This window comes from Homo sapiens, chromosome 14 (assembly GCF_000001405.40).
Source record: "Homo sapiens chromosome 14, GRCh38.p14 Primary Assembly".
Lineage (NCBI taxonomy): Eukaryota > Metazoa > Chordata > Mammalia > Primates > Hominidae > Homo > Homo sapiens.
Genome location: NC_000014.9, coordinates 58,747,626 through 58,770,795, shown reverse-complemented (window position 1 = coordinate 58,770,795; position 23,170 = coordinate 58,747,626). Strand labels below are relative to the sequence as shown.

Sequence of the window (23,170 nt, the reverse complement as noted above, 5' to 3'; positions counted from 1 at the left end):
GTGGAGGTTTAATTTGGCCTGTAATTGAGCTTTGCAGATAACTAAATTCTTCTGGGGTGGGGTGAGATGAAGGAGGTGGTGGGAGGTGCTGGGGGGTGGGGTTCCCTAAAAATCCTGTCATGTGCATAATCTTTTCCCAACCCAGTGTGCTTTCTGAACCATTTCCTACACTTACCAGATAGAGCAAGGGGTTGGTCTGAGTAAGGAAACACAGGCCTCATGACTCCTCACTGAGAGGCAGGTCCTCCACCTTCTGTTCTCTTTGCTTCCCCTGTTGTGAACCATATGTGCTGGACCAAAAATTGAGACATGTGATCTGGCCATGAAAAAATGAAATTAAGACTGTTCCAGAAGATCTAGGGTATATGTTCTCCAGAGACAGAGCAACCAGGACGATATACACAGTAGGTACTTAACAAATGCCCACATTAAAAAATTACAGCCACATTCCAAAAGGCACCTTGGATTTTCTTTGGAATTGTTATCCACAGCTAGGTTGTTTCTAAATCCTAAACTCTTTCAGCCTCAGGACTATGATAATTTGCTATGTGCCCTTTTGCCTGGTCCATGCAATAAGTATAACCATTTTCTTTTTTAAAATTAAAATTAAATTTAAAACCAAAACCTCAGGGCTCCCACTTAAATCCTGGGAACTTAAAAACATAGTGAAGCTGTAATATATGCCTTTCTACTTGAAAAATAAATAAATAATTTGATAAGTAAAGTGCTACTCCAAACATATCACAACAGTAGAATGCTCCCAATGAAGTATTAACTGTCGATTTGTTTAGATAAGAAATACATCTAGTCAAAATCACGCTGCAATTACAGGACTTCAAAGCAAAATAATTTGGCTTGGCAATGTTCTAATCTCACATCAAAAGCAGCTGTATGGTAGTCAGCTTATGAAAAGAAAACTGTTCTTTTCAACCAATATGAAGCATGGGAAAACAGGAATAATATTTTTTGAAAACTTCAGAGAAATAAATAGTGTCACACTGTGAAACACACACAGAATTTCAGAATTTTTTTTAAATGTAAGCTGCCTGGAGACATTACATTTCATGAAGCAAGAACAGGTGTGAAACCCAAAAGGGAACATTTATTTTTATTTATAAGACTTACAGTAATGCATATTAAAGAGAGAAATTACCAAAAGCCAAGATCTGTTCTCGACACTTGGGGATGAGAATACAGGAGAGAAACACAAGTGAAAAAGGGGAAAATCTTAAAATGGACTTCAGCAATCTCATTCTCTGGACTGTAGAGTGGAACATTGCTTCTCAAATGTTAATGAGAATCCTGTTAAATGCAGATCCTGATTCAGTGAGTGTGGGGTGAGCCTGGGTGTGTGCATGTCTCATATGCTTCCTGATCACACCCATGCTGCCTGGTTCCTGGACCACACTTTGAGCAGCAAGGAAGTAGAACTTTTGACCTCAGAATCCCTCCCATCCATCCATCACTCCATGTCAAAAGCCAGCAGCCTCACTGGATGAAATAGGCCACAGTCTGTGGCCTGGAAGGGGGTAAGGGGTATTTTCATGTGCTAAGTGACCTCCCTTAGCGCCAACACAACAATATACGGCAAAACAAAGCCAGAATTTCAATTGTGAAGATCAGCTCATTAGGAGCTTATCATTAGAGAGATTTAGATGAAAGGCAACTCAAGCAGGGTGAAGAGTATGCTGAGGCTTTCACCTGAAGCTTTTGATTTCCCTAAAAAGTCTGGTGAAGAGAGTCACGAGGTGGGGGGCAGTCGAACCAGTTGGTGGCCAAAGTCATTATCAGCTCTGACTTTGAGAGACTGAAAAATCAATGTGAGTTTGCACAACAAATGACTAGCCTGGAGATGAGTTCACCATATTTAGTGAAGATTTGGGAGTAAAGTGAGGAATTATATAGTTATTGTAAAACTAAAGGTGGTGTTTTAACATACTGATACTTGACCTCTATTACAGCCTCTTCGTCTGTACAATGAAAAAAAAAATACAACCTTCCATGAATTATTGTGAGAATGAAAATGAGTTATATTAAAGTGGTTGAAGCAGATTCTAACTCCTAGCAAGCACTATATAACTATTACTATTATTATCATCAGGCTAACATTACATCGATTTGGGATATCCAGGTATCTAGTTCTGACACAAAAGGGTCATCAGCTATTAAAATATATGTGGCATCACTAGGAAAGTCATCCATTGAAAACAGTGAATTAATTTAAAACTGGTGACAAGCACTCAGCAGGTACATACTACTTTTCAGGGATAGCTATTTATAGAGAAAAATATCTAATTCCCCATTTAACACAGAAATAATGACATGAAAAAGTTATCTGAAAAGAAGATTGTAGGCCTCAGTGATGATAAGAAGAAATAGATTATTTTTCAGCCTCCAGCTTGGAGACTATTACCCTTAGCCTAAGAATTAATAAACAAAAACAGTAATTAAAAATTAATATGTTGTTGATGCAATAAAAAAGCAATAAATTAAAAATTAATATTTTTTGAGGCAGGCTCCCAATCTGTTGCCCAGGCTGTAGTGCAGTGGCATGATCGTGGCTCACTGCATCCTCAAACTCTTGGGCTTAAGCAATCCTTCCACCTCAGCCTCCCAAAGTGCTGCCATTACAGGCGTGAGCCACCACATGTGGCAATATTTTCTTAACAATCCCCCATCTGAAGCCCACAGTAGCCAGTACTAGGAGTCAAGAAAGAGCACGGCTTTGTCATGGGGCTATAATGCTCCCTTTTCCGAAAAAGCAACTGTATGTTAATTAAAGAAAATGTTGGCATTATTCAGCCACAGAAAGTTCTCACAGACATTTGCTTGGTTATTTTAACTATAGGCTCCAAATTTTAGGAGGGCCATTAATCAAAATAATGCCTGTTTGCCCCAAGGAGAACTCATTTCCAAGAAGGAGTAAGGTCTGGAAAGTGAATATGTCATAAAAGAAAACTGGACTGGAACTAGGAAACTGGAGACCCACTAGAATGTACCTCAATGAGGGCAGGCGTCTTGTCTAGTTTGATCACCTCTGTGGCCACAGCACCCAGGAGAGTGAATACATCAATGAGCCTAGCCACATAAATCTGACCACTGAGCTTTACTTTCCTCATTGCCAGAAAGGTGATAGACCCAAATATGATCCTTCTCCATTAACATTCATTAACGTCCTTCCACCATTAAGATTCAAGGACTTTATGAGTGCTCTTCTGTGTAGAAGAAACGTCACTGTATGTATCTTCACGAAGGCTAAATAAAGATTATTCTAGGGACTGACCTTCTACAAGATAAACAGTGCTAGTCCCTATTATAACCACCCTCCAACAAACAGGAGACATTCAGGTTGGACAAGTGGGAGCCTCCTGCTTCCTGGGCATTCTATGCTAAGTTGTACTTGAATTATGAAATGCTTGGTTGATTCCCCAAACAGGCCTGGACTTCTCATAACCTGGAACATCTTTTCTCGAGGCCAAAGAGGTGATCCCAAGTGAGAGGCCAAATCCAAGGACCCTGCCTGCCCGATGGGTGCTCCTCTGCTGAGCAGCCAAAGGCAGTGCCACGAGGCTTCATCTACCTCCAATAGTCACGGAGTCTCTCCATGTGCACATTGCTCCTGCACTGCTTCCCAGGAAGCCTTCCTGACCTTTCAGATCAGTCACATCCACGTACCATGAACATTCACACCCTGTACCTCTCTTTTCACAGCACTTATCCCAAGAGAAACTCCACATTGTTGTAATTATTTGATTACATTTGACTCTAGCTCCATGGACCCAGGTCCATTGCTGCTGTTGCTTGCCATCGTTTCCCCAGCATTTAGCACTGTATCTGGCACAAACTAGACACCTAATAAATGTTGAATGAATGAACAAATGATTTAAGTGGTCAGCTTGACTAGAAAAAAAAAAGAACAACCAAAGATTTCTCCTAATTTTATATCATAAGCCCTATGGACTTTGTATAGAACACTAATACAAGAAAAGCAATTTCTAAATTGGTTGGCATCCTCAAGTCACCAAATTGAAATATAATACCATATGCTGTATGCCACACACAGATGTGTGGCCCACACTGTGGTGATGTAACAGCAAAAAGAAAAAATATATATACACTTCAGATCCTTTCAGACCTGGGTTTGCATCTTGATTCTTCCATGTATCAGCTATGAAATGACTGGATCTCTCTAAGCCTCAGTCTTATCTGTAAAACAGAGATAAGGAAAAATGAAATGAGAATACATATAGAAGTTTAGCAAACTATGAGACATATGATGAGTGTTCAGACAGTTTTAACTCTTCTTCGATATCATTCACCATGTCCTGAGATAGGCTGTGGCATCCATGTGGCCAGCAGGAAACACTTGAAAACTATTATTCTCAAACATTTTCAATCCTGTGACCACTTTACCACCAGCTCATCATGCCTGGTTACTACTGTTTTGGTTTTGATAATTTTGCAATTAAGCAATGAACATCTTAAATGAAATATCATAAATAATTAGCTTGTACCAGAAAGAGAAACCTGGGAGACCTCAGCCAGGGCCCCCAGGGCACCCCAGTCCTTAATTCAGCACCGGGACAGAAGACGAGAGAGGTGATCCGATCCAGAGTTCAGAAGGGCACTCACCTTCACTTTGACTTTCTCAGCAGGCCCCAGGCCCTCACAGATACTGACTGCCCTCTTGATAACAAGCCTCCCAGCATTCATTTGCCTTGTTTCTGGGACACTGTGACAGTCAAAAGCTGATCCAGTCGCTACCGACTGGAACACAGGGAGTTTAAGGGGGGCAAGATTAGTAAGCTTCAAAAGCTTAGGATGGCTTGATAAGCCAAGGGTAGGGGCGGGAATATTTATTTAACAGCTTACAATCCCTGAAATATTTCATCTGAGCCCCTTCACTCCCCCACCTCCCTTCCCCTTGACCTCTCTGTGACCCTCTCAGCTCTTGAAGCTTCTTGCGTTGGCCAGCTGCATTTCCAACCATAATACCAATTTTTGCCTAGTTAAGGTTCCAGAGACACAGCCCGCTCCTCGGGGTCCCTTGAGGATTTAAAAAAAGGAGATCAACGTTTACATTGATGACATGCACTCAGCTGTGGGAGGGTTTAGTTTTGTCCACGCCGTCCCCTGCAGCTGTGCTGTCTGCCTCACTGACCGCAGGCCCTCGCCTTCCTGGAAATAGCTCTCCCCAAAGAGTGCTGGGACACAGGATCCCAGCCTCACGAAATGTCATTAGACTGAAATCACAGATGTCCCATGACCAGATGGAATGGCTTCAGTGGAGCTCAAGGATCCAGGAAAAGAGCACAAGAAGGGACAGAAGCGGACCTGTGGAGACAGAGCCACGCTGCTCAGGGAGGGGCGTACCAGGGAGCCTGGCAGGATGAGGAGAAAAGGGAGGTTCTGAGGGGTCATAGGGAGGGGGGATAGTCTTTCCTGACATTCCTCCCTGAAATAACCACACTAACCTCCTAAAGCCTTTTTATTCCTCTTTTTTAATGGATTTTCAAGAACATGGGGCAAATAAAGGATAAATCAGCACAAAACTCCTGAGCAACAATCAAGATTTAACTGTGCCTCATCCTAAGCTGGATGAAGAAAACACAATAATGGCAGGCAGGGAGGGGGAATGATAGTTTGTTTAAAAAATAAATGTTCCTTCAAAATACAACCCTAAAGTCACTCTGAGGTCTGCTTTAAATACGCCTTAAGAAAAAACGAGGGCCGGGCACGGTGGCTCACGCCTGTAATCCCAGCACTTTGGAAGGCAGGGGCAGGCGGATCATGAGGTCAGGAGATTGAGACCATCCTGGCTAACACGGTGAAACCCCGTCTCTACTAAAAAATACAAAATCTTAGCCAGGCATGGTGGCGGCGCCCGTAGTCCCAGCTACTCGGGAGGCTGAGGCAGGAGAATGGCGTGAACCCGGGAGGCGGAGCTTGCACTGAGCTGAGATAGCGCCACTGCACTCCAGCCTGGGCGACAGAGCCAGACTCCATCAAAAAAAAAAAAAAAGAAAAAATGAAATCTAGCATTGCTAAAACAGATTTCTTACTCAAAGCTTAGAGGTGGCCCTTGCAGCATCCAGAATGGAATTCCATATTAGTACCATTCAAAACCGTACATGCACACCTTTAGATTCTGTGCGGCGACCTGCATTTTTATGTCCTAATAGTGAGCCGTGGTTCACTGCACAACTCTGAAGAAGTCACAAAATGAAATGATTGAGAGGAGATTAAAATGTAGTATGAAGATAGTGAGACAGGTGAGCAACAAATAAGTGGCAAATAACAGTTGAATATTCCTACCATGTAAATTATTGACGTTAAAATATTATGGGCTACATGTCTCAACATGGATAAATCTCCAAAACACAAAGTTAAACAAAATAAGCAAGGTATGGAAATCATATGGTCTGATGCTATTTATATAAATTTTAAAAACATGCAAAACTTGACTTATACTACTCATGGATAAATACTTATGTCTGCAGATTCATAAGTCAAGTATAAAATGTGCAAAAATAATTATAAACACCAAATTTAGAGCAATGGCTTCTGGGGGGAAAGAATACTCAAGGATCATAGATTTTAAAAAGCCAAAAAACTTCAGTACCTGTTTCATTTTCTTTCTTTAAAAAGTGATATGAGGCTGGGCGCGGTGGCTCATGCCTGTAATTCCAGCACTTTGGAAGGCCGAGGTGGGCGGATCACCTGAGGTCAGGAGTTCGAGACCAGCCTAGCCAACATGGTGAAACCCCATCTCTACTAAAAATACAAAAATTAGCCAGGCGTGGTGGCATGTGCCTGTAATCCCAGCTACTCAGGAGGCTAAGGCCGGAGAATCGCTTGAACTCAAGAGGCAGAAGTTGCAGTGAACCACGGCACTCCAGCCTGGGTGACGGAGCGAGAGTCTATCTCAAAGAAAAAAAAAAGTGAAATGGCAAAAAAAAGAGAAAGATTTAAGAAGCCGCAGTGAGTTCAGTGTTCCCTACTTTTGCTTAATTCTTTACTATATGCTTGGAGTGTTTCAACATAAAAATGTTAAGAGCCTCAGACAAGAGTCTTCAGGTGAAAGTCAGTTTACAACTTCAGAAATCCACTGAATTCATTCATAGAGCTCTCCCCAATTCCTTGAATATCTGGGAACTCAGGCAGTGTCTCTGGAGTCCAAGAGATGCTAATCTCCACCTGGTGCAGTCCTAACCGGCTTTGGGACTGTCAGGTCCAGATGACTCCCTTTTTAAGGCTCTTGTGAAATCACTCCACCCAGAGGATGCACAAAAAGTAAGCATTAGGTATCTAAAAGCTTCCGTTAGGAACTCTTAGGAGGAAATGGTATTTAACAAGCTTTCTTCAGACTAAACATTGCCAATTCCACTACTGGGAGTGATGACAAATGGCTCTCACCCCAGCTTTGACGCTAGTGACCTGTGCGATATTGGGCAAGACCATCTACCTTTCCATTACATCATATGGGCCTAAACAACTTCTTCTGGGCTTAAAGTGTCTGTTGTTCTAATCTGAGAGTTAAGAAGATGGGGGCAGATGCCAATAGGCAACAAACATGACCTCCCAACCATAAATTATTCTAGGGGTGCAGGTAGCCCTGCATCCAAACCTGTTCCCCAAGCACACATCCTATTTCCCTCATCAAACTTCTATAGCTCAAATTCTCAAATTCAGACACTTCTCAATTAAAGGCCACATTAAAATGCAAATAATATGTGGGACCGTAATCACACTTTAGCCTCAGCAACACACATTATCTCTTTTAATTCACACACAGCCATTTTCAACACAGATAAAAAAACTGAGGCTTAGAAAGCTTAAATGATTGGCTCAAGATAACACAGTTCTTAAGTGGGAAACCCAAGCTTCAAGCCAAAGCCTTCAAAATTTCAATCTTAGAGTAATTTAATTGCCTCAAATTAGCCTTAACAGGGGGCAGAATCCCAAAAGAAAGCAAAAGAGGAAGGGGGAAGGTCAAAGAAAGTATGGTCCTGGAGCTGGGAATGCTGCCAAGGGGAAGATGAAAAGAATGAAAAAGACTGAAAAACCTCTTTGTCTTACTTTGTCATTTTGCATAAGGCTAGTTTCCTTCACAACCTTATGGATTTTAATTTTTCAAAGATTGAAGTGGGCCGAAAACAAGCTACCAAGGTGTGCAAGACAGTTATTATTAAAACTATTTTCCTCTCCAAACTTTCCAACCACAGCGAGGCTGGATCATTAACTGTGTGAACCAAGAGAAACGATTTGTGAAAATCAACATGTGCAGTCCTTGGCATAGCAAGTAATCAGGGAAAGATCGTAATGGTGACAATAATGACAGTGATGACAGTGATGGCAAGGACTGTATTAAGAAATGTCCAAGGTCACTCCAAAGCAGCATACAGGTACACCACTGACATCTCATGCACCCTGACAGGTACATCACTGGGCTTTCATCATTCATGATCTTTTCAATGCTTAAAAGTGTTTTAACATAATCTGATTTCTTTCTCTGTCCAAAGCGTGAGGTTCATTCAAACGGTTTGATCAGCAAACATAATCCTTCCTGTCTGTTTTCTAAGGCGATTTCTGGATGTACCCATGAGACAAACAACAAGCAAGGAGAGAGGCCTTCTCCAAGCTTCAACCCCTGGTTTATCAGCCTTACCTTTAAGTAGAAAGTAGGAAAAGAAAACTACCATGCACTTCCACATATTATACAAATAAAATGGGCATATTAAATAGAAACATAGAATTACTGCAGTCCTTTTTATATGTTTTGGCTCTATGTCCCTACCCAAATCTCATCTCGAATTGTACTCCCCATAATCCTCAGGTGTTGAGGGAGGTGCCTGATGGGAGATGATTGGATCATGGGGTGGTTTCCCCCACACTATTCTCGTGATAGTGAGTAAGTTCTCATGAGATCTGATGGTTTTATAAGTGTCTGGCAGTTCTTCCTTCACACTCTCTCTCTCTTTCCTGCCGCCCTGTGAGGTCCTTGCTTCTCCTTTGCCTTCCACCATGATTGTAAGTTTCCTGAGGCCTCCCCAGCCATGCAGAACTGTGAGTCCATTAAACCTCTTTCCTTTATAAATTACCCAGTGTCGGGTATTTCTTTTTCTTTTTTTTTTTTGGAGATGAAGTCTCGCTCATGTCCCCCAGGCTGGAGTGTGATGGCGCGATCTCAGCTCACTGCAACCTCTGCCTCCCAGGTTCAAGTGATTCTCTTGCCTCAGCCTCCCAAGTAGCTGGGATTACAGGTGCCTGCCACCACACCTGGCTAATTTTTGTGTTTTGTTTTTTTTTTTTTAGTAGAGACGGGGTTTCACCATGTTGGCCAGGCTGGTCTCAAACTCCTGACCTCAGGTGATCCACCCACCTCGGCCTCCCAAAGTGCTGGATTACAGGCGTGAACCACCGTTCCCGGCTGGGTATTTCTTTATAGAAATGTAAAAATGGACTAATATACCTTCTATCTCTTGTTAGGGAACTCACTTCATTATATTTCTAATGCCCTAATGTAAGGCAAACATTTTCTGTTACATTCCTGGGATTGTTCCTTATAAAATGAGTTGCCTGACAAAATCTCACAAAGAAGGTTTTTTTTTTTTTTTCAAGTATTTTATTTTGAACTACAAAGTATCTCATGGGAAAAGCATACAAGCCTAAAACAACCTCAATCCATACTTGCTTGGGGTCCTTATAAATGTCAGTATGGGTAAAAAAGGAAATGAGAAATTTAACCTGGATTCAGTCATTTATTCATAAAGGTTAAGATTTGTATTTGCAATTATCAAATGTAGTTAAAAATAGAGCAACAAGCATTTAAAAATAACTTTTAAAAGCAACATAGTAAGTGGTTACATTTTGATGATCACAAATATATGCCTACATGACAATGAGAAGCCAACCACCTAATGTTGGCCAAATAAGTCCTTCTGGCCTGGCACAGCAGTTCCTGTTATCACATTGAACAGGGATTCAAAAACAGTGCTTCCCAAACAACTTGGAAGTGAGTCGAATGAGCCTAGAAAGCCATGTTAGGTGATTCAAATAGAAGTCAAGAAAAAATACATGTAAAGTGTTTGAATAAAATCATTTCAGGAAACAGAGTGGAAAAAATAATATTTTAATATTAAGATGTTATTTTAAATATAAATGAGTACCTGTATTAATAAATTAAATATCTGTTGACATTTGAATATCTCATCTATATTTCTAAAATATATAGAGATATAAAGAATTTTCAAATTGGCCAAACATATTTTTTGCTCTTAGTTGTCTTTTATTTAGGTATATGTGGTATATAGTATTATAAACATAATGGGGCATCACTTAAAAAGCAAAGACAAATAAATCATTCATAGCCTTTCAAAAGAAAGAAAAAAAAACACAGAGGCAGCCTGAATAGAATGGAGGAGGAGCCTGAAAAGCAACAGCCCATTTGCTGGAGCACTCATGGCAGATGAGCACGGTGTCTGGGATCTCAAGCTGTCCTGGTTCCAGCATCCCTCCCAGAACTCCCCTTGGGAACACGTTTTACACAAAGACCTTGTTTTCCCAATGTTATAGGTGCCCAATTCTTAATTAAATCATCTCTCACCCACAATAGCCTGTGGAGACCAATGATGCCTGTGGAGAAAGAACACTTTGTTGTGTCATGTTTTGTTTTGAACATCCCTGAAAGTCTAAAAAGAAGGCACCTGACAATCATTGTAAACTGGAAAAGCCAGAAAGAGGAAAAAATGGGCTCTTCAGATTCTGACTCTGTGTTTCAGGCTAAAGATTTCATTTCTACCTGAGATCATAGCATTTTGGAGCAAGGGGAATTCCTAGGGATTGTCTAGGATACACTTCTGGTTCAATACAGAAAAATAGGACGATATCCCTTTACACATTTTTTACTTGTGTTCCCAATAAGAGATATTTTCCTAGAAAAGCTTATCAGGCATTTTAACCAGGCTAAGTAGAACCAAAAGTTCTATTCTATTAATGTTAACATAAAGTTAAGTTTAGAGCTCTTAATAATTGATGCATCTTTTTAAGTGACTGTTGGCTTTGATTTAAGAAAGAAGCAGACACATTTTCACACTTCACTGATATCACCATTTCCACAAGAGACATCTGCACACTCCTCCCTGACTCCGTGTCATATGGTCACCATTAAAGGTCACCACAATTGGAAATCTATTCCTAAGAACTAAGAAGGTTATTTAATCATCTAGGAGAGGAGAGCTGTCAGGGCTGAGAATACCACCATGAGGAATTTGGGTCCCCTACAATCAAGTGGGTAGTATGTTATTTTCAAGTTCAAATTTTCTTCCATTTATTTCTGTTATTTTTTAAACCGCAAATATATTAATAGATCCTAAATAACATTCTGCATGAAATATTTAAAGGTTTTCTAATTTTGCTGTATTAAGTCAATAATTTGTGTGTATGACACTAGCAGCTAGAGATTTTCCTTGTGATCATAATTTCTTGAGTCCAGCTTTCAACTAATAACAGGGCAGCAGAAAATGAAGCCAAACTACTGAACCACTAAACCAAACTTCTTGAGGATAGAAAAGACAAGGAAACAAAGATGAATGATCCCATATATAACCCACATCTCATCCCTTTGGGGAGATATTCAAACCTGGCTAAATATTATAGATAAAATTCCAATCGCTTTGAGCAACACTGAAAACAATAGAAAAATGTAAAAGCCTAGAAGTACTAATTTTTAATGAAACAGAAGCTGGTTAAAATGAAACACAATATACAATCTTCCATAACTGCATGAGCCAATTCCTTATAATAAATCTCTATCTATACAAAAAAAAGAAAAAATGCAATAAATGCAAGGAAAACACACTGAGACTCCTCAAAAGGGTGCTCAGAGCAGGAAAAGTGAACCAAGAAGTTTACCTGGAAAAGAACAGGTTAAGGAAAGGATGAAGAAGGTTAATTCAGTCTGTGAGAGGGATTGAAGTTTGGGGAAGAAATAATCTAAAAAATTATTCCAAGTCATTTGGAATCTGAGACCCCAGGCCTTAAGCAACTAATGTGGCCATGGAAATCAGTTATGATTTGAACTCACGAGTTATTTCTGAAATGTACGAAGAAGACCTATTTTCCTCAAGGATGAGGGAATCCATATCAGGAATGAAATAAGACACAAAAATGTGTTAGGTCATGAAGTTCTATCACCACAAGAAGCCTGCATGTGACATTGTGAGGTTTGGGCACTTGCCCTGGAAATCCTCACACTATGGAAAAGTAGATTTGTTCACTGTAAATATCTGGCTGGTGGATGACATGCTCATGCATGCAGCTTTGTTGTTATTCTTTGAGAAAAGGGACAGCAAAGAATAGAAAATTGATCAATGAGACTCCAATTTAGGCTGTAAGGAAAGCGTAACCCAAAACCTACTGTGCAGGGAATATTCTCATCCTTTCCTTCTGGGCTAGTCAAACCACAAAAGCTGCAATGTTGCCTTGACTTAGATAAAAGAAGTATATCTGCATCTTCAGTCATGCTCTACGTATGTTGAGGTCAGCTCCAGCCCCCTTTTGAAAACTAGTACCAATTCCTATCAAGCACTAAAAAGTTTTGGGTTGGGGGTGGCAGACTGTTGCATTGCTTTGCTTTGTTTTGTTTTTACTTTTGGAGTCAAATATTGTTTATTGCTTGGTATAGAGAAAGGGAGACATCATACCTCCAAGTGAAATGAAAAAACATTTTAAAATTATATTTTCTTTCCTACTACTTTATATTTTATTTAATCATCATAGCTCAATAGTTTTACATTTCCTTTATAGTCCTGCCCCTGTCTCAAATCATCATCTCAGCTCACTTCTTGGGATAAAAGGAAAAATTAAAAGCATGGGCTTAGAAGTCAGGTAATGTCTCTTCAAATCTACACCTATAGCTAGATGACCTTTGGCAAGTTAGTTAACCTCTCTGAGGGTAATAAGCGTCTACTTCACATGATTATCGTTAAGATTAAAATTAGGGCAGGGAATGAAAAGCATTTAGCCCAATGCCTGTAAATGCACACAGTAAATATTCAATAAATGTTGTTTTAAAATATTCTTCCTATTTTTTCATGTCACTAGATTGGCAAAAGTGTTTAAGTTTGATGATAGTAGTTGTTAACAAGGGTGTGTAGCGAAAGAACTTCGATATTTTACTGCAGAGAATGTATGGCAGATAAAAGACGACGACCACAAATTATTGTTCCCTATCATATTTACCCCTGTAAGATTTGGGAGGTCTATACCTCCTCCCCATGATTCTCAGCAGGCCGTATGACCCCTTTACTGATAGAATGTGGCAGAAATGCTGTTATGCAAACTACCAGGCCCAGGCCTTAAGAGACTGATAGCATTCATTTCCAAACACTTGGAACATTTGTTCTTGGGACATTGAGCCACCATATATAGCAAGTCAGACTACCCTGAGGCCACCATTCTTAACCCCAAGCCATGTGGGCAGGCCCTAGAGGATGAGATGCCATGTGGAGAGACAAAGAGCACCAAGATGTGGATATGAGTGATGAAGCCATGTTAGGTGTGGATCCTTTGTGCCAGCAGCCTCAGCTTACATTACATGGATTAGAGACAAGCTGCTCAGCCAAGCTCCTCCCACACTCGTGACCCACAACATTATAAGCAAAATAAAATTGGTGCTTTAATCCACTCAACTTGGGGTCATTTGCACCATTAAATAATTGGAACAGAATGATATAGATACAATCACTTTGGAAAACTATTTGACATAATTTTGTAAAGGTGAAGATATATATACTTATGACCCAATGATTCCACACATGGAAGACTCTGGCAGCAGAGAAAATCAATGAGCTATAGCTGCACACATCTACATGGATGACCAAAAGTAAAAGGGAGTAAAAAAGATAATCTTGAGAGAATAAGGCATGTGATGGAAGAAAATATAAAGTATTATTCCACCTCCAAGGGCCCAAAGATGGCCTTCGAGGGGTATGAGCAGGGCATGAAGATTATGACTGAGATAAGGAAAAAATCTCGGTATCTATAAAATGGAAAAATAAGCAGTCTTAATCTAACCAAAACCAGAATGTAGAATGGTCATCACCATCTACTCAACAAATATTTCAAAGCACTCATTATGTGCCAAGACCCTGGACATATGCTGGGATACAGTGACAAAAATGCCAGAGTCCAGGGGAGTTTGGAATGTCTCCCCTAACCCCTAGAGGAATGTGTTTTTAAAAGAGCACAAATGGAAGGACCTAGTTCTTTGGTTAGAAAAAGGAGAATGGCAGACGTATGACATCTCTCGGGGGCCACCCTGTCGGCCATACCAATGCCTGCCTCCAACCCTGCAGCTGGGGCAAAAGGCAGAAACTACACCCAGCTTTGATGAACATCCTTGGGTGAATTTTCTCTTGGTTTACAATGATTGCCTTTTCTCCTGAACATGGGCTGGGAACGGAGTAGGAAGAAGAGGAGAGATGCTTGTCAGGAAAATGAACTTTCAGAGATGCAGTTTCAGGGCCTGAATAATGCCAAAGTTTTCCTGTAGTACCTCAGGCTCAGTTTACATAAGAATAGCACATCTGCTTTAAATTATCATTCCTTCCCTTTGTCTACACCCAACCTGGGCAAACCCTCCAAATTATAATGATCCAGAAAGAGGACCATTATTGTTTTTATCTTTGCCACATGAATATTGTGGGTGAAGCAAACAGAGAAAGGCCATGCCAAAGGCCATCACCAGGGAGATTACAGAGTAATTTTGTTCAAAATTCCCTTCCCCCACCAAATATTTCTATACTGGGGAAATCTATTTCTACACTGGAAAAATTTGAGGGCCACAAGCCTCAAAACAGGCCCTGATGGTAGGACCACTGTAGAAACAGTGGGCACAATAGCCAACAGGTAGAAACTTCCCAGGGAGGAGGTGTCACAAAAGACATTGAAGCTGCTGGCTTGTAGGTACCAAGGTGTTTACACACAGAATGCTAACTTCAGAGCCAGCTGCTAGCTGCTAGCTCCTCCTCTCCCCAGCTGCTCTGCACAGCACAGAGCCTAAACAAACTCAATTTGGCATACCCAAAGAAAGCCTCTGAAGTGGGAAAAAAATCTCCCCCTTTTCCTGACGACAGCAGACATCATCTCCCAAGTGAGTAGCCCAAAGTGGCCAAAAACTCTCTATGCAGGCAGTTCCCATTTTAACACAGAGCCCCATTTGAAAACAAGCCCCCACAGCTGAATCTTACCAAGGCCTGCCTGCCCATTCGGGCTTAGGCCTCCCCTTCAAGCACTCAACACAATAACTCTCTGCTAAGGGAAAGGCACTGTGCTATAATCAGCGGCTTTACAGCTTTAACTAGTATCAGAATCATGCAAGGAGTTTCTATCTGCCATGGATGGCAAATCCCCAGGCCATACCTCAGACCTAGCAAATAAGAATTCCCAAGAGTGGGGCCCAATAGTCTGCATGTTTTATACAGCTCCCCAGGTTGAGAGCAACTCCTTAGAGAATGTTTCTCAAAGCCCTAATGACTCAAAGGACTTCAAACTCATTCACATTCAGCATTGAATGAACAATAAGGCTTTACCCACATAAGTTTCTACTTTTAACTGGACTCTGGCCTAAAGGAAACAAATGACTCTCTAAGAGTGGGAATTCAGATCCAGTTATAAAGTTCATGGAGACTGTTTTGATTAAAATATAGATATAAGGCCAGGTGGGGTGGCTCACACCTGTAATCCTAGCACTTTGGGAGGCCAAGGTGGGTGGATTACTTGAGCCCAGGAGTTTGAGACCAGCCTGGGTAACATGACAAAACCTTGTCTCTACAAAAAATACAAAAATTAGCCGCGCATAGTGGCACATGCCTGTAGTCCCAGCTACTCAGGGGTGCTGAGGTGGAAGAATCGCTTGAACTCAGGAGGCAGAGGTTCCAGTGAGTCCAGATCATGCCACTGCACTGCAGCCTGGGCCACAGAGTGAGACTCTGTCTCAAAAAATATATAAACAAATCAAATAAAATCTGTCATGCATATGGGCAAAACTTCAGGGCTCTGGGTTGCTGGGGATCTGCCAGAGGAGCCCACTGCTGAGCAGCCTACTTAGAAACCTTGAAGACGCCCATGTGCACTCCCTCCCAGGCTCACAGTGGGGAGAGGAGGAGGCCTGTAATAGGAATGAAGAGCCAGCAAATGGAGATGTAACGCCTCCTTAGCAGGATTTCCAAAAACTACTGGATTTAATTAAGAATCATGGAAATGCTCCTGCTCACTTGTGTAGGAAGATGGAGAAAGTTTTATATATGCTGGGAAAAAAACAACTAGAAGGTTCAAGAGGCCTGAGAAGAAAGAAATAGGAGAAGACAGTGAGATAAAATAAATCAGGGGGAGAGAAGGCTAGGAACCAAAGTATAATATAAATAAGACATCCTTTCATTCATTCAACAAATATTTATTAAACACCTTCTTTCTTTAAATTCCAAATTCCTCATTTGAGGCAGTCCAAATGCTCAGCTGTCCCAAGGCTGTTCTACTCTCCATACAAAGCTTTAGTTTCTCCAGCATATCCCCATTACCACATCTCATTTTCCATCCAGGATTCTTCCTATTTCCATATTTTTACTCATTTTGCCTGAAATGATCTTCCCTTTTTCCTCCACCAATTCAAATCTGAATCATTCTTCAAAGCCTAGCTGAAGTCACCCTCGCCCCCGGACCCTGGCCTAATTGCCTTCATGCCATTCTGTGTGACATTATAATATTGAGCTTAAGTTGCATTCCACACAAACACTTGATATTTCTTGATTTGAATAGTTCTATTTTTATTATTGTTATTAGAGACAGGACCTTCCTCTGTTTGGAGTGCAGTGACACAACCATAGCTCACTGCAGCCTTAAACTCCTGGGCTCAAGGGGTCCTCCTTCTTCAGTCTCTCAAGTATCTAGTACTACAAATATATGCCACCACACCCAGATAATTTTTATTGTTTGTAGAGATAGGGTCTCACGGTATTGTTCAGGCTGGTCTCGAACTTCTGGCTTCAAGCAATCCTCTCATCTCAGCCTCCCAAAGCACTGAGACTATAGGCATCAGCCATCATGCCTGGCCTGTTCTCTTATTTTTGATTAGAACAATCATGAGCCCACAGGAGTTAATTGATTAGGTAGAGGCTCAATTTAGAATTAGAATGAGGAACTCACTTCCTTATAGTAATAGCTGTATATTATTATTAATGAGTTTTACTGTATGAAGAGTCTGTTGAGATTTTAACTGCTATTTACAACGTTATAACTTCTATGGAAAAATGTATTTTTAGTTCCCAATAACCAGTTTACAAATAATCTTTTAGAAAAAAACATGTTCGTAAATTGGATATTGCTTCCCTGAGGCAAAAGTGAAAAGAGTGATTAAAGACGTGTAGAATACGAGAAGTGTTAGGAGCTGAGTAACAACTGCTTTGGAAGAAAATCACAAGATTGGGAATTTTTAAATTTGCAATTAAAATACAAAGCTTCTGGCCCCCTTGCTTTCGGATACATAGTTGCAATTGGTTGTAAGAATTTCCCCTTCCTCTTCTACACTTGACTCTCAACAGTTTAATATCTCCTTAAATTTATTTTTGTCGGTCAAGTCAGCACCAGGAAGGTTATTCTGTTAAACAGTAACATTTAACAGAAAAACAGGAACTGGTAACATGGGTGCCAGCCTCCCCGTAAAACATGTGATGGCCTTTCCTCAGAAGACACTGTGGACTGATCAAATGTGACCCTCTGCTTCTGATTTTCTGAGCTTCTCTCATAGGACTCTCGGGGTCACTTGGACTGTTGAGCAAAGTTCCCGGAAGGTGCCCCGCCACTGCCTGCCAAGTCGGCTGTCTGCCAGCAACACGCCTGCTCCTGCCTTTTGCTTGGAACTGCGTTTTCTATTGTTGCTGTGACTGAGCCCAGCCTTTGCTATGGGCATGCCCTGAATCCTGACACTTAGCTGAAAGTATGAATAGAACCGAAAAGAGTTTGGGCCATATTCTGAGCTCAGGATAAGGACTGGATTCACAATAATTGTACCAAGGTTTTCATTAAAACATCACATTCTGTCATATATTTAGCTAAGAGGCAAATTTTTCATTCCTCAAAATGCAGTAGGTGCTTTAGTGTGAGAGGCATTACTTCTGATTGTTTAGATGGAACAGCCACACTCATAATTTAATGGACTTGTTTATGGACTGAATGAAAGTATTCCTAATTTGAATTAAGAAATACTTTGAAGCAGGTCATTTGTGGCTTGAGTCCCAGCCTTGGGATCGGGATGGACTCCAGCTGCCAATGGCAATGACTATAGCTCACGTGCCCAGCTTTTTGTAGCTCAAAGGATCCTCAGTTTAGTATGAGCCTCTTCTCCATCAGCTAGTACTAGGCCCCCGTTCCCGCTAATTCTAATAACAGCAAGCCATTCAGAGGGACCTTAGCCAAGCCAGGCTTTCAGTTGAGGTTAATATACCTCCTTCTCTATCCAAATAGGTAACTTCGGGCAAGGTACTTAACTTTTCTGAGCCATGGTTTCCTCATCTGTCAAATGGCCACTATAGTAATGTCACGGGATTCTTGAGGTGTTGCTTGTCCAGCTGAAAGCCACAGGGCCAATGGCACCTTTGCCCAAGTTTTCCTCAGGCCTGCTGGGCTTGTACTGCCCACTTAGCCTGGCAGGCTGCACTCAGCTCGCTCTACTGGCCTGGATCTCATACCTGCCAAGAGCGAGTGGAGCGGTAAGGGGTATATGAGTGAGCAAGCATGGGGTCCGGCCACTGTGCACAGCCAGGCATGCTGGTGGTGGGTGGGGCAGACAGCTCCAGGTGCCAGCCCAGGTGTACCATAAGCAGCTTCCATAGCTGGCACTGGGGAATCCAGTGGTGCTCAGAAGCTTGAAGACACCAGGAACCGCAGAGCCCCAAAGAGGGTGTCACAGCCCTGGCTGGGGGAGATCCTAGGTCTGGGCTCCCTGAAGGGCCGCAACTCTTCTCTCCTTCTCTCTTCTCTCCTTGTCACCCACAGTGTGGTGAGCAAGGGGTGTGTTTCAGCCTTGTTTGTGTTACAGCTCTTTCAGCCCCACCATTCAGTGAGTCCTGAGTTATTGTCCTGCATCCAGGAAGAATGAGGTACAGGGAAAAGTGGACAGTTAGCAAGGCAAAGAGGAGCTTTATTGAGTGACAGAACAGCTCAGAGGAGACCTGCATTGGGTAGCTCCTCTCCACAGGCAGGGCGTCCCGATGAGTGTTCAGTTCTCAACAGAGAGGAGACCCTGGAGTGGGGAGCTCCTCTCTGCAGGCAGGTTGTCCTGTCATCTCCTTGAGTCTGTCTGAGTCTGGGGTTTTTATGGACTTCAGAGAGGAAGAAGTGCCTACTGATTGGTCCGTGGGTGGCCATGGGTGGGCCTGGAAAAAGTACCGTAAGTTCCCACTCTGGTCTGTGGGGCCGGCAGCCTGGCCGTCAGGCTTCAGGCCTTCCCCAGCTCGAAGGTAGAGCTTCACTAGGGACCCACTCCTTTCCACCCAGGAGCCTGTCTGCCTCCTGCTGTCACCCAGGCTATTCATGCTGAGGGACACCTAAAGGCCCATGCAGAGCCGCCCTTAGCCCCCACTCAGGCTCCCTCCCATGCTTACCAGTGCCCAAAGTCCAGAGGCAGCCAAGGCAGCAGGGGGCTGGAGCGTCAGTGCTGCCCCAATTGTGCACACACCCAACCAGGTTGCAACAGCTCCTGGGCTCGACCTCAACTTTGCTCCAAGATCAGAGTAGGTGCAGGGAGCAGGGAGAGGCCAGGTAGTGGGAGCAGGCACTTCCAAGCCTGCAGGTGGGAGGGGGCCTTTCCCAGGCCCCCAAGAGGGGACGCCCAGGTCCGTAGCCATGGCTTGGGCAGCTGCAGCTACACTCCAGAAGGGCAGGGCTCCTGCCCAATCCCAGCTCCCAAGAGCACAGGGATGCCCAGGTCCACAGCCACAGCTGGATGGCCGCAGCTGCTCCCAGGGAGCACAAGGTTCCTGCCCTGCCAGGGCTTCTGCCTTTTCCCGGCTCCTGCTGGCTCTTTGGAGTGTGCAGCCCTGGCCATGCCTCACCCCCTGAAGCCAGCATCATGGCAGCAGCCGCTCCAGACAGGCCTCCACTACCATCAGTAGTATGTGCCTTGTAAGACTTTTATGAGGATCTAATTCAATTATGCTTGTAAGATAGATGACTAGAATGAAGGAAGGGAGTGTGGCAAGGAGCTGGCTATTTGTTGGGTGATATTGTTGACCTTATGCACAGCAAAAACTAGTCATCTACCTCATTCTATTTGCAAAGTCTCACAGCTTTTAATCTCATGCACCACCCAGAATGTAAACAAAATATGGGTAGAAGCACCTTTATTTATCACAATTTTCTGGCTCACTATTCTATTTCATTTACGTCCTGAGTATGTTCACATATACTACAGAACAAGTCTCAAATAAGTGTGAACAGAATACTGCCCAAATTGATGACCATCTTAATTGTTTTCTTCTGGCTTGTCCACTAATTGCCAGAAGAAATGAAAGTAAGAGAGAGAGGCCAGGAAGAAGGGCAGGGAACAAAAGAAGGCGTGAGAGAGAGAAGGGATAAGGAAGAGACCTAAAGGCAGTTCCTTGGGCTGGCTCAGGGAGATGCCTGGAACAGACCATGCAGAGACTCTTCAATTTTATAGCTGAAAAAGCCAGTAGTCACATTTTAGTACCTTTGTCTCCAAGCAGGACTACAATTAACCCTAACTCCTCTAGACCAATGGGGGATCTGTCCCAGACCTTAAGGATCCCTGGGAAAAGCCAAAGTTAGCAATCCCATTTCTCCTATTAATTAGAACTTCACTCCAAACCACCGTCTCTAGATCTCAACTTAGATGTGCAATGGTGTGCCTTTATTTCAAATTTCCATGTTGCACTGTAAGATGTCAATTGCATGGGAAGAAACCATAGAGAAAAACAAGAAAGCTGGTTTCTTTGATTTAACAGACAATGTATAGACCATTTGGGCACTGGCCCAGGGAAGTTTGGAAAAAGGGATTAAGTCCCTTAAAGATTGGTGTTTCCCATAGGGGGCCTCAGCAGAAGGGTAACTATTAAGGAAGGAAAAGTAGCCCCACCTACAAAAAAGGAGGTTATGATAGATCTTTATATTTCTCATATTAATTCAAACATTTTCTAGCCATACCATAAGCAAGAATAAAGACAAATTTGCAAGTTTCCTGTTATTTTGTCCCTGTCAGGCTGTGAGAACAGCAGCATTGAGATCCTCTGAAGTCCTGGTGAGAGCAGATGACAAGTCCGTGAGTGGCCCTGTGAAGTGAAAGCAGGAAGTTCGACTACATGAAAGATTTATAGTTGTGGTGACCAAGCCTCTAGAGGCCCTTGCTGCTGACGCTGCCCTTATCACAGGTCCAACCCTCATTTTGTTAGAATTTCTGTGGTAGATGCTCTGCTGATCCCAACCCATCCAAAGCAGCACTCACTACCTCCAGAAGACATTGGCTTTGGGCCAAAAGTAAACAACTTTCTGAGTCATTTAAATTCTGAAAGCATCTGTGTGGCAAGGTCTCTTTGAAAACATTGCTAAGTTCTCCACATAGCCTCATTTGCCCACCACAACAACCCACGAGCACTCACCCTCAAGTTGATACACAATTCGCACAAGATTCCAGAAATGACAGATCTGGTGCATGCTGTTAAAGAATTAAACAAGACTTGTTCTTAAATCAAAAATGCAACTCCTGGAAGCCAGTTGGCATTATGTTTTAAAGTTGATCGTGCTTCATTTCTAAGTGTTAAAGAACGCATAGTCTAGTTTACACAGAATGTATATCTATAAACACGTATGAGTATACATAGATATATACATTTATATAGTATATACATATATGTATATAGATATATCTATACACACATACACACACACACATACACATGCACAGTAGTTCCACCTTATCCATGCTTTCACTTTTCATGGTTTTACTTACCCTCAGTCAGCTGTGGTTCAAAAATATTAAATGGAAAATTCCGGAAATAAACAATTCATAAGTTAAAAAAGAAGTTGAGGCCAGGTGCGGTGGCTCCTGCCTGTAATCCCAACACTTTGGGAGGCCGAGGTGGGCGGATCACAAGGTCAGAAGATTAAGACCATCTTGGCTAACACGGTGAAACCCCATCTCTACTAAAAGTACAAAAACAAAATTAGCCAGGCGTGGTGGCGGGCATCTGTAGTCCCAGCTACTCAGGAGACTGAAGCAGGAGAATGGGGTGAACCCAGGAGGCGGACCTTGCATTGAGCTGAGATCACGCCACTGCACTCCAGCCTGGGTGACACAGCAAGACTCCGTCTCAAAAAAAAAAAAAAAGAAGTTGACTGTGCTTATACCCTTCAGCTCAGCATTCCATTCCTAGATATATACTCAAGAGTAATAGTTACACATATATACCTGGAGAGGAACAGAAGAAAGTTCATAGCATTGAACAGCATAATACTAAAAAACTGGAAATGACAAAATACCTATCAATGGTAGGATAAATAAATAAATGGCATATATCAATGTAATGAAGGATTATGCAGCAGTGAAAATAAATGAACTACAGCTGTGTTCAACAACACAGAAAATTTTAGTATCATATTAAGTGAAAAAGGCAAATTCCAAGAAACTTCGTATAGCATTACACTCTTTATATAAAGTTTTAAAATAAATAAAACTGAATGATATATTGTCATAAGTCAAAAACAATGAATAATGAATGCCTCTGAGGGTATTAGAAGAAGACAGAATAAAGAAGAGTGCTTGGGTCTTGAGGTAAGTTGATTCGGTTCCAGTTCTGGCGTGGGTGATGATTTCACAGGGACTTACGGTATCACTTAATTAACTTTTAAAAGGGTCATACATAGACAAATGATAATAATATATAAAACAAATAAACAGGCGATTACTCCACAAATATTCCCTGAGTCTTTGTGTTGGGTATAAATGTAACAATAACATCTTTGTAGCAGAAGGAGAGAGGGCTAAAAACCTCTGCAGGAGGCTTTCTCACTGTTTCTCTCCCTGGTATACTCAGAACTCATTACTCACAATAAAATCGAGTTACCATTCAGGAAAGTATTTCACAGATTAAAAAAAAAA

The 23,170-nt window shown here is 42.0% G+C and overlaps 1 long non-coding RNA gene across 2 annotated transcripts, besides 4 other annotated features; it reads right to left on the bottom strand.

Moving 5' to 3' along the window:
- Nucleotides 1,120–1,700: an enhancer, noted in NCBI's record as "OCT4-NANOG hESC enhancer chr14:59235814-59236394 (GRCh37/hg19 assembly coordinates)". NCBI's record gives its function as "activates a minimal SCP1, AML or CMV promoter by ChIP-STARR-seq in naive and primed H9 embryonic stem cells {active_cell/tissue: H9 hESC(naive and primed)}" and the evidence as "EXISTENCE:reporter gene assay evidence [ECO:0000049][PMID:30033119]".
- Nucleotides 1,701–2,282: an enhancer, noted in NCBI's record as "OCT4-NANOG hESC enhancer chr14:59235232-59235813 (GRCh37/hg19 assembly coordinates)". NCBI's record gives its function as "activates a minimal SCP1, AML or CMV promoter by ChIP-STARR-seq in naive and primed H9 embryonic stem cells {active_cell/tissue: H9 hESC(naive and primed)}" and the evidence as "EXISTENCE:reporter gene assay evidence [ECO:0000049][PMID:30033119]".
- Nucleotides 17,731–18,025: an enhancer, noted in NCBI's record as "tiled region #9975; HepG2 Activating DNase matched - State 3:PromF". NCBI's record gives its function as "activates a minimal TATA promoter and a strong SV40 promoter by Sharpr-MPRA in HepG2 cells {active_cell/tissue: HepG2}" and the evidence as "EXISTENCE:reporter gene assay evidence [ECO:0000049][PMID:27701403]".
- Nucleotides 18,072–18,794: an enhancer, noted in NCBI's record as "H3K4me1 hESC enhancer chr14:59218720-59219442 (GRCh37/hg19 assembly coordinates)". NCBI's record gives its function as "activates a minimal SCP1, AML or CMV promoter by ChIP-STARR-seq in naive H9 embryonic stem cells {active_cell/tissue: H9 hESC(naive)}" and the evidence as "EXISTENCE:reporter gene assay evidence [ECO:0000049][PMID:30033119]".
- LOC102723725 (uncharacterized) lies at nucleotides 20,643–21,843 on the bottom strand. Of its 2 annotated transcripts, XR_943915.3 has the most exons (3): nucleotides 21,672–21,843; nucleotides 21,220–21,344; nucleotides 20,643–20,716 (listed from the first exon to the last, which is right to left on the bottom strand). It is a non-coding gene; the product is annotated as an uncharacterized LOC102723725 (long non-coding RNA). The 2 variants fall into 2 exon arrangements; XR_429367.4 differs by lacking the exon at nucleotides 20,643–20,716 and having other exon boundaries at nucleotides 20,905–21,344.
- Between the last annotated feature and the right edge of the window lie 1,327 nt (nucleotides 21,844–23,170).